The sequence below is a fragment of the Homo sapiens genome, chromosome 1, assembly GCF_000001405.40.
Source record: "Homo sapiens chromosome 1, GRCh38.p14 Primary Assembly".
In the NCBI taxonomy this organism is placed as follows: Eukaryota; Metazoa; Chordata; class Mammalia; order Primates; family Hominidae; genus Homo; species Homo sapiens.
Window position 1 is genome coordinate 114,106,037 of NC_000001.11, and position 14,697 is coordinate 114,120,733.

The 14,697-nt window shown below is 50.9% G+C and overlaps 1 protein-coding gene across 9 annotated transcripts in view, besides 1 other annotated feature; it reads right to left on the reverse strand.

Annotated features, from left to right (window-relative positions):
• The window catches only part of SYT6 (synaptotagmin 6), a 64,578-nt gene that overhangs the window by 16,745 nt on the left and 33,136 nt on the right, over window positions 1–14,697 (reverse strand). The gene's annotated exons all lie outside the window — the stretch shown is intronic.
• Window positions 3,197–3,246: an enhancer, noted in NCBI's record as "active region_1543". NCBI's record gives its function as "activates an Ori minimal core promoter by ATAC-STARR-seq in GM12878 lymphoblastoid cells {active_cell/tissue: GM12878}" and the evidence as "EXISTENCE:reporter gene assay evidence [ECO:0000049][PMID:35858748]".

Genomic DNA, 14,697 nt, shown 5'->3' on the forward strand with positions numbered 1-14,697 from the left:
GCTCCCTAGTCCCCTAGTCAAGAGAGAGACACATAGCAAGTGCCCTGTGCCCTGGCATGGGTCCTGCGGCAGGGGGCAGATCAGCATCACATCTGGCTAAATATTCCATGTCTCACATAGGCACTGAGGTGTAAAGAGAAGCCCCTTTATTTCCCTTAATAACCCTTCAAGCCCCAAGTTACTGAAACTCTTTAGATTCAGTGAGCACAGTACTAGGAACCAACCCATTGCACATGGACTGTGTGCCAGGCCTCTGCTAAGTACTTTGCTAGATTATCTCGGTGAGTCTTACCTCAGCCCTGCGAGGTAGGTGCTCTCTCTCTCATCATCCCTATTGCACACAGGAGAAAATTAGTGTTTGGTGAAGTTAAATAACTGGCCCAAGGCTGTGTGACTAGTGAGTGCTTTGGTGCCAGATTTTCATATATCCTTGCCACTGCTCAAACCCCTTCAGTGGTTCCCCTTGTTTGGCTTCTGGGATCAAGGCTCATCTTCTTAGCTTGCACTTGGGGCTTTCAGCAACTGGGCCCTGTCCTACCTCCTCACCTGCTGCTCTCTCCCTTCTCTGTGCCAACCCTCTGCTCCACATGGCTGGTATATTGTTGGTCCTTCTTGTCAAAATGCCTCCCCTTCTCCTCTTTGCTTGGATACTCCTATACCTACATCATGCCCCCACACCACACCCCCATGGACCCTTGCCCAGGGTCCAGCCCACAGTAAGCATCTCTCCCGAACACCCCTGCAGGGCTTCCTGTCCTCGAACAGCTCACAGGAGTCACCAAGTCCCCTTTGCCCTGCAGCTGTGCCCCCCAGCATCTAGTGACGAGAGCCCCTTTTGGGACAGGGTCCTTGCCTTGCACCTGCTTGTGCTTCAGCATGCCCAGCAGGACACAAAAGCAGCTACAGAAATGCTTGCAGAAAGGGGTGCTCACATTTTAGTAAAAGAACTCTGGAAGGAGTGGTTCTTCACGCAGTGTTATGATCAAGTTAGGGCCCTGGGAAGAACTCTGGAAGCTCCTGTGGCCCCTCTGAGAGGGAGCAAACAAAAGGCCACTGTCACCATTTCCCCACCACCAAGTCCTACAGATGCGGAGTTGCCTGCGCTTTCACAGGCTGTCTCTTTTGGGGGAGTCTGAGTTGATTTGTTATGGACCTGGGAGGCTTGCCTGGGGATATGAGGGGTCCCTCGGGGTAAACAGCATTGCCCCAGGCTCTATGAACTGCTGTCAGGATGGCTCCCTCCAGGGGAGCAGTGACCCGCAGACCTCCCTGGTTTTTGCAGGACCCCTGCTCTTTCTCATAGGACCGTGGCAGCTGGCGACATGCAGGTGCTGAGTCTGCAGTGTGGTGTGGCCCGTGCACCCAAAAATGAACTGCACCCTCCATCCATGGGCGCAGCCAGGTGAAAGGACTGGCTCAAGATCCCACTATGACCTGGAGGCAGGGAGGAAACCAGGGCCAGAAGACAAAAGCCTGGCTCCAGGCTTCGCACGGGGGAGTGGCTGGCCCTCACTGTGCCTGGTGGCAAGTCAGCAGCTCTTGGTTCACTGTTCCCCTGCACACACAAGCAGCGGAGGACTGGATTATTTAATAAAGGAAATTAAACAGGTTAATTTTGAGTAAATAAGAGATGAGAGCTAAACAGAGAGGGTCAGCATCTCCTGGTAGTCACTCTCTCTCTCTGGAAAGCCAGGCCCCAGCTCGGCCCTCACCAGGTCCTCTCTCTGCACTACCCTCTCTCAGGCGGTTTCAGTCAGATCCCACATGGCTTACCAGCCTTTTATCCTCATTAGAGGTGTTTGAGACTTTGGACTTCAATAAAACAAGGGGTGACCAGGGGCTTCAGAACAGCTAGCACATTATTGCTTTCATCTTCACCTGCTGTCAGGAGAGGCTGCCTTAGGGCCCCTGACTGGTAATGAGCTCTCTGGTGCAGGAGAGGTCACTGCTGTCCAGAAAGCAGCAGAAACCAGCGTAGCCCTCTAGACTTCTAACCTAGGAGCTGATAGGGTAGATCTGAGCTCAGTAGCAGCTGGCTGAAAGTCTTGGCTAGTGCTTGCAGGAGGTGGACCTGCTGGCAGGGGAGGGGAAGCCAGGATGTTGGCTTCTGGAGAAATCTGTCCTTTAGTGCAACTTGTCCACCTGATGTCGCTGCCCATATTAGTAGCATTCTCCTTGGCTGCAGTGCACAGGGCATCTGGAGAGTAAGATTCTTAAAGGCTCACCTATCTATAGCACAACACTGTGCTCCCTGGCTTCCCAGAGGCCCATCTGCAACAACTGATTAAAGCACTTCTCTCTACTTGATGCAGTCACATAGTCCTGGGCATAGAAAAAGAGATCCTATTTGTGGGCTGCCCATGAAAGAGCAGTGAACCATGAATCAGGAGACCTGGACTTTAGACCCTCTACCCCCAGTTAGCTGTGAGACCTTGAGCAAATCATTTCCCATCTCTGGTCCTTGGGCTATAAAATGAAGGGGTTGTTCTAGATGAGATGCTCTATCCTCAAGGTCCCTGTCAGCCATGAGAACCCAAGATTCCAACTGGAAAATCTATCAGCCATCACCAACTGAGACGACCCAAGGATGCTTAAGTGGTGTCTATCGCCTGCCTCAGGGAATCTAGCAATTTCGTTTTGAAATCCAAATGCTCCCATTTTTTAAGTTCCCATTGCCCCTCAAATGTTTTGTTCTTCTCCAAGGCCAGTCATGTTTCCTCCTGAATAAGCAGCGAGTGGCGTCAGTGCCTGTGAGTCCATCTTGGGAATGCAGGCTAAGCAAAGCAAGAACAATGCTTCCCCATTTCTTACAGAGCACTTCTAGTCTCTTAGTCATTAAGTGGCTTGTCTGAATCTCTCATCATCAGCAGAGAAGCATCCGCTATACTTTCAGGAAAGCCATAGGAGACCTAAAAAGATCTCAGAAGCACTGGGCAGGAAGTGCTGTTAAGTTCCCCAGGGGTTGTGGGAGGGTAGGGGGGCTGGAAGAGAGATGAGGTAGAAGCCAGTTGGACTCCAATGGCTAAAGAAACCCCGCATTGTAGGCCTGGGGCTCTGTGTTGGGGGTACAGAGATGAGTCAGATGTGGAAGCCAGATACCTGGAGCTGAGCCAGCCCCTGTGATATCTCCTCCCATAGCAACACAGGCCTCCTCTTCATAGCACACACTACAACTCTAACTTTTATGTTGATCTGGGGACTACATGATGAATGCCTGTGTTTCTCACCAGATTGTATGCTCTTTGAAGGCACGAATGGGGTCTGGTTTTATTCATCCTTATACCTCTCATGTGTAGCCCAGTGCCTGATGTGTAGTAAGTGCTCAGCAAATACTGGCTAATGAACAAATGGTTGAGAATGTGGATTTGGGGTCAGGCAGATCCAGCTTCCAGCTCTTAAGACTATGAAAGCTTAAGTACTCCTAAGAGAGTAGTATGGCTTACTTAACCTTTCATAATCTTGGCTTCCTAACCTGTACACTGTACAGTGGGATGAATATAGGACCCACCTCTTAGGGTTGCCGCAGAGATTAAATGAGGTAATTTGTGCAAAGTGCTTACTTAGCACAGTGGCTGGCACAGAGTAGGTGCTTAGTAAGTATTGGCAACTATTATAATTATTACTACTGTTATAAAGAGCTCACGGTCTTGGAACAGGGGCAGGGAAAGGCATGTCAGTAGGTAGTACTGTTTGGTTTGGTCGGTGCAGTAATAGAGGTGTGGACAAGACGTGGGCATGCAGAGCAAGGAAGAAGGAATTCAGCCCCAGATTTCAAGCTAGGCTTCCCAAAGAGGGTGATATTTGATAGGATCTAGACAGGTCAGTAAAAGTAGATTTCTAGCAGAAAAAAGTAAGCAAGCGCTTTTGCTTTTTTTCTCTGGAGAGGGATCAACAGTGCCTAAAGACACAGAAGGGGCAGGGAGTGTTCGGGGCGCATGAGAGGTTCCCTGTGGCTGACAGCATGGTGATGACAGGGGCGGAGAGCTCCCAGATGAGGCTAGAAACAGGGCCCCAGGCAAGGGCCAGCCTTGCCTGCCTCTTAGCCCATACTTGGGAGTTTGTCCTTGATTCTGCAGACAATGGGAGACTGGCTCTACCCCTGCCCTTCCTGCTTTACTTCCTACTCAGTCCACTGTGTCACCTTCAACCCAGACACCCACACCAGAGACCATTTTCATGTGTGTCATTCATTTGTCACACACCCACTAAATGTTGGAGGATCTGGAGAGATAGTAATGATAAGACAAAGTCCCAGCCCTCCAGGAACTTGTATTCTAAGGGAGGAAGACAAAAGTACACTAAGCAAGATGGTACCCAAGGGCAGCGAGGGAGCCAGGGACCTGACCAAGGGTAGTGAGTGGGTGTGCGGCCGCTTTATTCATAGTGGTCCTGAAAGATGGGGAGGAGCAGCCAAGAATGGAAGGAGAGCTCTCAGCAGAGGCTAGCAAAGAGTGCTGTGGGTCTGGCTGGGGGAAGCGGATGGTGGCTATGATACCAGAGTAAGCAAAGGGTAAGAGGGAGGTTAAGGGAGGACTTGCAAGTGCTTGGATTTTGCTTCCTATGAAAAGCAGAGCCCTTTGAGGACTTGCAGCAGTTTGGGACTTCAGCAGCTTGTAAAGAATGGGTGGCAGGGGCCGGGAGAAAGTGAGCATGAGTTCAGATGCTACGGCCTCCACAGCTACTCAGTTCCCAAGCTGCACAGCTTCTCCCTTCTGAGTGTCCCCAAACTCTGAGGCCCTCTCCTCCCATCCTCGCTGCACTACCTCAGCTCTGGCCTGCACCATCTCTGCCAGATCCTTGCAGTTTTCTAACTCCCCCTGCCCACTCCCTCCAATCCATCCTCCTTGCTGTAACCAGGTGGTTGGTCTCCTGCTCAGAATTCTTCAGTGGCTTCTCATTTCACACTTGTTTTGTAGTTGGAAAGCCTCTTCTTCAAATGAAGTATCATCCAAAAGCCCAATCATATACAGCAGCTGAAGAGTGGCTCAGAAACAGGGCATCCAGAGTACCTTCAACACCTCGGGCTCCCTCCTTGGAACTTTTAGGAGTCGGCATGAAAAATCACTAATCCACAGAATCACATGGCATTCAAGCTTCTTCACCGGGTGGCCCTCGCCTTTCTAGCCAGCCTCACCTTCCACTGTTCTGCCCCAGGTGCCGTACACTCCAGCCATAATAACCATAACATTGAGTGTTTACTATGTGCTGTCCTGCCCTAAGTGCTTATACGTATGATGTCATATAATCTTCACAAAAGCCTTGGGAGATGGCTACTACTATTATCACCACTTTTTACCTGGGGACACTGAAGTACGGAGAGGTTATGCAAGTGGCCCAAGGGCACACAGCTACTAAATGGCACAGCCAGGATGTGGACGGAAGCTTGAGAGCCCCCACTTTCAGCCATGACACCATCCTGCCTCTTGATGACACCTCCTCACTAAATGCTCCAAGATCTTTCCCACCTTCATGACTTCATCTTGTTCTTTCTACCACCTGAAATAACCTCTCCATCCCTCTGACCATCCTGGACAACTCTGATCTTTCCAGGCCAGCTGTCCTGTCACCCCCTCTTGGGTCACCTCCTCTGACTCCCTTGGTCTGGCCTGGGGTTGTGCTCCCATTGCCCTTGGGTGGTAAAGGCCAAGGGAGAAATCTTACAACTGCCCCAAGGCAAAGTCAGGACTTCCGAGAGGAACCCGGCAGGATGTGCTAAACTGCCGGGTGAGGGGCTGCAGGAGGAGAGTGGAGACTGACGCTCTGCCCGCCCCACGTTCCCACAGCTGGCTCAGCTCTCGCCTGGGAGAGAGGAGCTGTGGGAGTGGGCACTCCTTCCTAGGGTGCCGAGAGGGGGCCCCTGCTGTGAACACCGGCCTGGGTGACGTGAGTTGATTCCCTGCTCCGCCTCAGGCCCGGGCTCCTAGGGCTTCAGCAAGAATGCTGGGGGTGTCTGGGGTGGAAGGGTGGGATGTGTCTGTTGTGACGCTCGGGGCTTCCTGCTGGGTGCTGGGGCAGGTTCTGTTTGTTCTGAGTTCCATGCCTGCTTTTACTCTCAAGTGCTTCTCTGCCCCAAGGGCCTTGCAGCATTATGAATAAATGATCAACCAGAATTGAGGCTCCTTATACGAACTCAGTATACTCCAGCTTCACCCTGCAGTGTGGACACAGAGCTAAGGACTGCCCCATGGAGAAGCGGGCACCCCCAAGCCGGTGTGGAGCAGCGGTGCACGGAGGACGTGGGTGAGATCCTTGAGTCTGGGTTTGTCCTAGGGACCCATTGAGACTAAAGCACATCAGCGGGAAGCAAATGTTTCAGCATCTGAGCATCTTCAGAGAAACAGATGGTCTTATTTAGGAAACTTTTTCTCAGCCTCCCCTTCGTGAACCTGCCCTTGAAAAGAGGCTTAGTATTTCACACGCACCATTACTTTTGGGCAAATATCCGTGAGTCAGAACACACTGGGAGGTGCAGATCTCTTCCTAATGACTTTTTAAAGTGAGGGTGGAGAAGAAGAGGGGCTGAGAGAGTGGAAAGGAGCTTGAGAGGAGTGGAGTTTGGAGAAATTTTAGAAGAGATGGCAGTAATGCCTGGTCAAGCCAGGAAGTCTGTGCCGTAGGGTGCTTGTGCCTGAGAGCCCAGAGCCGAGGACCTCACTTCAGATCTGGTCCTTCCACTGTCATCTTCATTAACCACAGGGGTGGTGGGGGTAGTAAAGGGTACATTAATGAAGTTAATGATGAAAATCCATCTTAATTTCTTGTCACAAGTTGTCTTGCCGAGTGGCTGTCAAATAGCTGCCAGTTTCTCCTGGGGAGAGGGCAGACATCTCCCCGTGGTGAGAGATCTGCTCTCTGCCCCTCGCAGGGCTGTGGGGGCTGGGACTCTCAGCAGGAGGGAAGATACCTTGGTCCTGGTTTCCTGATGAGTCTCCTGGGGCAGCTGAGGAATGTTTCTTGCAAACAAGTGCCCTGAGGGGGATGCCAAATAGGCAGGGCTTTGGTCTCAGCCAAAGGCACAGGCCTGCACTGCGTGACAGTGGCTTTAGCTTCATCATCTCTTTGGGGACAGTCACCCTGAAGATTAAGATCTTTCCCCACCTCCTGCTCCCCACACTCCAGAATCTCTGGGTCTTGCCATGGCAAGGTGCTCCATAGAGAAGCTCTTTCCAGCCTTTCACAGAGTTGACTGCCCTGCTCTTGACAACTCCACTTCCTTCCGGTTCTTCTCCCACCTCTCTGGCTGCCTTTTTCAGGTTTCCTGTGCCAGCCTCTTCTCCCATCCCTGCCTCTAAACAGTGAAGTTTGTCAAGCTTTTTCTCTCCTCACTCAGCCATAATGTTAATATCCATCTCCCCACTCATGGCTCCTGAGTTTATGGCCCCTCCGCAGACATCTCTTCTAGACTCCAGACTCATATATCCAAAATGACATGGCCATGTGGCTGGAAATCTAAAACTTCTCAGAGGCTCAAAGTTGCCCTTTTCTGTTTACATTCTCCTCTAATTTTCCCCAACCTGGCCCATCCATCCACCCAGTTGCTCAAGCCAGAAATGAGACATCTTTGTGGACATCTGCCTTCCTCTTTTGGATTTAGATCATCATCAAGCCCTGATAATTCTAACTCCAAATTCCATCTCAAGTCCACCCACCTCTCTCCATCTCCAGTGCCACACGGAGGCCAAAGCCTACCCCCCTGCCAGCATACAGCCGCCTCCTATCTGCCTTCCCTGCTTCCCTTGCTCTCCCGCCCCATTCTCCACACAGCAGCCAGAGTGCTCTTCCCCAGATGGAAAATGGATTGTACCACTCCTTGTTTAAAACCTCCAATGGCATCCCCTTTCACTAGGAATAAAAACAAAAGCACTTATCAAGATCTACAGGGCCCTCCACGAACGGGGCTGACTCTTCAGCCTCCCCCCGTGCCAGGGCTCTCCTCACAGGCTTCCTCAAATGCCCCAGGCTCTTCCTGCCCCATGACTTTGCACTTTCTCTTCCTCTGATTGACCGTTCTTTCCCCAGCTCTTCACATGGCAGAGACCCACTCATCTCAGGCCACTTCCTCCAGCGCCTCCCTCTGCTGCCAACTGTGTTCCCGAAGGACAGATCTGGGTCTGTTTTGCCAGGGCCAGGACAAGGGTGAGGCAAAGCAGGTGCCCAGGTACAAAAGTGAAGGAAGTGCTCACTGTCAGGTTCATGCATGTATCCAAGAGTGAGTGTCCCCTTCCATTCTGCCCCCTGGGTACTTCACTCGCCTCACCCTAATCTCAACCTCATATTTTACTCACCACTGTATTCTCAGTACTGAGCACGGTGCCTGGTGTATAACAGATGCTGACAAGTATTTGTTGAATTAATGAGCAACTCAGCTTTGTGGGGCTCACCTGGTTAAGGTGGCAAAATGAATGGGTGACAAGAGTAGGCCCTTGCTTAACCTCAGCCTCAGCCTCTGGTCTCCCCAGGAGGGTTGCTGTGGTTATTGAGATGGTGTCAGGGTGGAGCCTCATAGGTGTTCCTCAGCGGGTGGGCTGAATATTCCCTGCATTAGAAGCTTGGGAGGTGGAGACTTGATTCCTGAGCTGCGCCCAAGATCTACTGAGTCATCATCTCTGGAGGCGGGGCCTGGATGTTTGCATTATTGACAGGCTTCCCAGATGAGTGTTACATAGCCTCAGTTCGTGATATAAGGCGAGAGATTCTGAGGTTGCCCCAGGTCAGACCCTATTAGAATCTCTGTGACATGGAACATGTCCTAATGCAACTGAAGTCATTAAATATCAGAGCTGCCAAGCAAAAGTTAAGGCATAAAAGGCCTCTTCTCTTTTTTTAGGCACAAGCAAGGGTTCTGAAGGATCGAAGCCATGTGGGCTGCTGGACTGGTCCTGGCCCTCACCACTTACTTCCCTTTGCCTTTTTCCTGTGCACCACATGGCACACTGGGTATATTTTAGAAAGAAGCTGCCTTATCCAAATTTACAGGGTTTAAGAAAATTAGGTATTAAGCAAAGACAGTGTTTCAAAGATATCTGACACCACTCTGTAAATATTCCTTATTGCCATAGATCTCCAAGGATGTGTTCCTGACCAATAAGATCAGCATCACTTGGAACTAATCAGAAACACAAATTCTTGGGCCCTACCCTCACCAGAAGGCAGGGCCAATAATCTATGTTTAACATGCCCCAGGGAAGTCTCAGGAACTGACAACCATTGCTTTTGTCTAGTTGGAAGAACCAATTGAACACGAATACTCTGGACAGGATTTTGAAGTTTCTTCCACTTCTTTGAATCTATTTATTTTGGTGATTAAAGCCAAAGTCAAGAGAGGAGGAGATTAACAGTTATGGAGCATCTACTAGTTTGTAGGCACTATGTTGGGTACTTAACACTTTTTTTTTTTTTTTTGAGTGTCTCGCTCTGTCGCCCAGGCTGGACTGCAGTGGTGCGATCTCGGCTCACTGCAACCTCGGCTTCCTGGATTCAAGCAATTCTCCTGCCTCAGCCTCCCGAGTAGCTGGGATTACAGGTGCATGCCACCATGCCGGGCTGATTTTTGTATTTTTGGTAGAGACGGGGTTTTATCATGTTGGCCAGGCTGGTCTCAAACTCCCGACTTCATGATCTGCCCGCCTCGGCCTCCCTAAGTGCTGGGATTACAGGCATGAGCCACTGCACCCAGCTCTTAACACATATTACGTTCATTTTACTCATACTCTATGCCTGGGAGGAGCGCATAATCATCTCTACATTGTACTGAAACTCATAGAGGTTAAATAACTTGCCTAGGGTCTCATGTGCTAAGCTTGGCTTTGGACTCAGGTTTGTTGACTCTGAAGGTGTTGCTCTTCTCCTCCATCCCACCCAGCCTCCTCTGGGACTGTCCATGCTCCACCCCACTCCACCCCACCTTCTGTCCCTGGTTATTGAGGGTTAGGGCTGCCGAGGACCGTGTAGGTTTTGAAGGTGAAATTTCTTGGTGTTCTGGAAGCAAGAAGCATGAGAGAGAAAGCTCTGAGACTTAGAATATTACCTCCCTTCTGCCTGCCCCCACCTGCCTCTCTTGAAAGAAGATGAATGGATGGTGTCACCCTGCGTTACAGACTATGAGAGGATACATCCTGCTCACTTAAACCTGCTAGTGCAGCACCCTGGCCTCAGCCCGTCATTTCTCACGAAAGTCACCTGTTAAGTCATTCTCTCACCAAGTGCCAAACTGCTGCAGCAGACACTGCCTCAGGGGAAGGAGGGAGGGGGAGAAGCTAGGCCAGCAGGGGCAGAACCCCTGGGCCAAAATTCTTGTCCCCAACGCGGCAGTTCAGTGGAAGAACCCCGGGCCCTCTCTGCACAGATCTTTGTACCTGAGGTCTCTGGGGAGCAGCCACCAGGACTGGGAGGAGGAAACCCACATATGAAAAAGTTTTGAGCCAGTGAAGTGTTTCCCCTGTCTCCTGTAAAGGTGTAGTTATATTCCTCACTGTTATTTCCTTGCTTCCTTAGGTCTTGAGGAAGGGTGAGGAGATGGTCTGTGATCTCTACAGGCTTCTTGGGAGAGTTGAAGGTGTCAGATCTCAAAATTCATTCCCTTGGTGCGGGATATTTAAGGATCAGAGCAAAGCAACTCCCATCACATGCCACTAGGAAGCAAGAGGCCCCAAGTGATCAGCCAACTTACCCAGTCCCAGCTTCCCAGCAAGACCACATTCAGCTTAACAATCAATGCCTCTTTTCCAGTGTTCCACCCCCGCCCGGAACTCAGGAAGTCCCCCCAAATGGCTGACCCAGTTCCTGGGGCATCTATGCCTTCCCTCCTAGTTCCCACCTACTATTACATCATAATTTAGAGGTTATGCCTTCTAAGACTGTATCAGTTTTGACTCCACCTTCTCTTCACCAAAACCAAGAACCTTCCCTTGGCCTCATGTTTTAGGCATTTTGGTGGCCTTCATCTAGACCCACGACTAATCATCAACGAAGAACTCCTGATTCATGATTCCAGAAGGGAAGAACCATGAGTCTGCTACAGGAGTTTTAGTATAAACAGTTCCAAGGAGCGATGCATGGAGTTGGGCACAGAACCTGGGGTTCGAATCCCTGCCCTGCTGCTTTCCAGCTGTGTGACTGTAAAACTCACTGAAGGTCTCTGACCCTTTCTGATGATGGGCAGTATTGTCATGCTTGAGGTGGCTACCTGTGAAGCAGGTGCCTTTCGCCCTGATTTACAGGCATAAGAGGAAACCACGGGGAGAGCACGGCCAGCTGCTAGTAGGAAAACCGAGACGTGCATATAGCAAGAATACAATCTGTTTGTAAGCCTTTCATTCTCCTGCCACATGGAGGCAGGTGGTGGCACTAAGCCCACTGGGTGTGCAGTCCCCACTGCCTGCCTGGTGGGCTGAGGGGCCAGGTGTGCCCCATGGATGTCTAAGTCAGCAAAAGTTGGAGGAAGAGGCAGCTGCCTTGGAGTTGTTCCTGGGTAGAGGGTGGGAACGACACATCTTCTAGCCTGGATTTCAGAGGCCCCAGCTCCTGCCTGCAGGGCCCCATGGAAGCTGAGCTGATTTGCTGGCTCTTTCTTCCCTCCCAGCCCTGGGCTTCCCTACCCAGCAGCGCCTTCAATCAGTAGGATTGGGGAGGGCATCCTGTGTCTTCTCAGGCTCCAGTTCAGATGTTCCCAGTAAGAGAACTTAAGGGAAAAATTAAGCTGGCTCTCAGAGGTCTGGGTTCAAATCCCGGTTCTGCTGCGAATCAGTAGAATGATATGGGGCAAGTCACTGTGCCTCCCTGAGCTGTGCATCCTCAGCCGTAAAATGAGAGCATTGTACCAGATGACCTCACCTCCTCATTAGTAAAATAGGGTGAACCGTGAAGCCCAATGAGTGTATGCACTGAAGACGCCTCACAGGGATCTAGTGCAGAGCAAACTCTTCAGACACTTTCGGGCCCCTTCCTGTTCCATCCTGCTGTGGAGCGGCCTCTGGCCGCTAGTGGGTTGGCTTCAGCCATCTCCAAACTGCATCCTGACAATGCCTCACTGGAAGGAGAAGCAAGCGGTGTGGGAGAGGGGGACAGGAAGGAGGGAGCATGGGGCCAGGATCCCAGAGATTTCCCAGGAAGTACAGAGCTCTTTGCTGGGAGGTTGCTATAAACCAGGCCCCAGGCCTCCCTTCCCCCTGCTCACCCAGGAGCACGATGATAAAGCGCCAAATTAGCTCCATTATTGTAACTCCTCCAAAAATTACAGGCCGCATGTTCTGCCAGAGCCAGCTAATGTCTCTCATTGGTAAGCAGGTGACACTAATAGTTATTTCCTCCCTTCCAGGCACCAAGTGCAGAGTGGCAGAAACAGAGTGAGGCTCAGGCTGGGAGGAGAGAGGCCCAGGGAGAAGCCGAGGCACTGGACGGCCCTGGTGCCAGGGGTCGCCTGAGTGCCACAGCAGAAGTTTGCAGATCCTCCCTTTGGCTTAAACTGCCTCTTTGCACTGTATGAACCTGGAGACCTCCCTGCTCAGGAATGGCGCTGCCTGGCATCTGGGGAGGCCACAGCACGCAGGCCATGCCAGGCCCTCCGGCGGGGTGTCCCTGGGGCTCCTGCTGCTGCTGCAGAGGGGCCTGCTGCTCCCCGGCTGTCCCCGCGGCTCAGGTTCCTTCTCCCAGGCGATGCCCAGCTTTCTCTGGCTTCCCACACAGCAGTCAGCATTTCCTCTCTCACCTCTTCCATCCTCCCCCACCCCCATCTGCCTCTCCTCTCACACCAGACAGAGCCATCTCCTGTCGGTGTCAGCTGAGGCAACGCTTCCTCAAGGGGGCAGGGTCCCAAACGGGAGTGGAAATAGCCCATTCCCAGGCATACCCAGGCCCCTTTCTTCCAGGTCCAGCAGCGAGAAATCACAGATTCCTGGACCTGGGGTGGCTCCTATGTCTCCGTGATCACTGCCCTCCGTGCACACCATTGTTCTGCAGGGCATCCAGCAACTCAGTCCCAGCCCAGTCCTTCCTAGAGATAAAGGTGGGAATCGGGTCGGCCTGACGTCTCTCTTTAAAGGATTCCCAGCCAAGCCCCTTCTGCAGTTAGTAGTTGAAGTGTAAAGCCCTCTCTGGTGATCACTGTGAGAACTCAAGGGTCCCAAGAGATTACAGGCCCCTGTTCATTTCACATATCAGAAAACAGAGGCTTGGAAGGGCTGTGTGCCCCTGGTGATTCTACTTGGAGTTTTCCAGCTCCCAGGCTAAGCTGGAATCCCTTTCTCTTACTTTCCAATTCCATCCCACAAGTATAAATTGAGTACCTACTGGATGCAAGGCCAGGGTTCAGGGCTCCAGGGCACATGGACAGTCCCAAATTCCAGGAACTACCTACCTCTAACACTGGATGACGATAAGGAAGAACTTTAAAGATACTACACATAGCTGGCATTCATTGAGCACTTGCTGTGTGCCGATGGGCACTTGGCTGAGATTTGTGTGAATTCTCTTCTTTAATCCTCACAATAACCTTATGGAAAAGGGTTATTTTTACCCACACTTTACAGATGAGAGAACAAGCATGGAGATATTACGTTAAAGAGTGGGGAGATATGGCTTGAACCCAGGCAGCCAGACCCCAGGGTCTACCTCAGCCACCATGCCAAGCCAGCTTGGTTTTCTGAAAGGTTGTCCCTGAGAATTGTTCACCCAATGCTTCTGGAGCTCTGACTGAGCAGGGTTTGACGGGGCTTTACACATTCTCTCAGTAACTTGTTTTCAAAAACCTCTCTCAGGCCGGGCACGGTGGCTCACGCCTGTAATCCCAGCACTTTGGGAGGCGGAGGCAGGCGGATCACGAGGTCAGGAGATCGAGACCATCCTGGCTAGCACAGTGGAACGCTGTCTCTACTAAAAATACAAAAAATTAGCCAGGCATGGTGGCAGGCACCTGTAGTCCCAGCTACTCGGGCGGCTGAGGCAGGAGAACGGCCTGAACCTGGGAGGCGGAACTTGCAGTGAGCCGAGATCGCACCACTGCACTCCAGCCTGGGCGACAGAGAGAGACTCTGTCTCAAAAAAAAAAAAAAAAATCTCTTTTAAAGATTCTCATGTATTTGTCAAAACAAATTTGTGAGCTAGGTTTTATAATTACCCCCACTTTGCAGTTGAAAAACCGAAGGCATAGAGGTGTTGATGAGGTCTCAGAATTCAAAGACCACACTATGATCTCTCCTTGTGATGGTGTTCACTGTGTGATGCCCTCGGTAGAAAATTTCCTCTTGTCTTAGAACCAGGAATAGCTTAGTGTTTCCTAAGCCTCTGGTTTGTCTTTACTTAATGGACGCTGAATTCTGTGACTATCTTTCCCTTATTGTGTTATCTGCCAGAATGCTTCAAGTCAGTTGTGTGGCAGGTTTGGAGGGCAGGGCGTGCACATTGTGTAGGGGACTCGCTGGATTCCAGAATTTCACATTCTTTCACTTATTTTTTTGCTACTCTTTAATGATGTTTCAAACTTATTTTTAATCTTGTCGCATGTCCTATGAGCTAGCTAAATCTTTTCTGGAGCAACACAAAGTGACAAGCAAAATAAATAAACGTTTTTATTACTTGCTGTGCAACCTCAGATAATTCACTTAGTCTCTCTTAGCTTAATTTTCTCTATCTACAGAATTAGGATAATTCCTCCTACCTGCTGAGGATTAAGTGAGACAATGTGTGCAAAAAGGCTCTGTA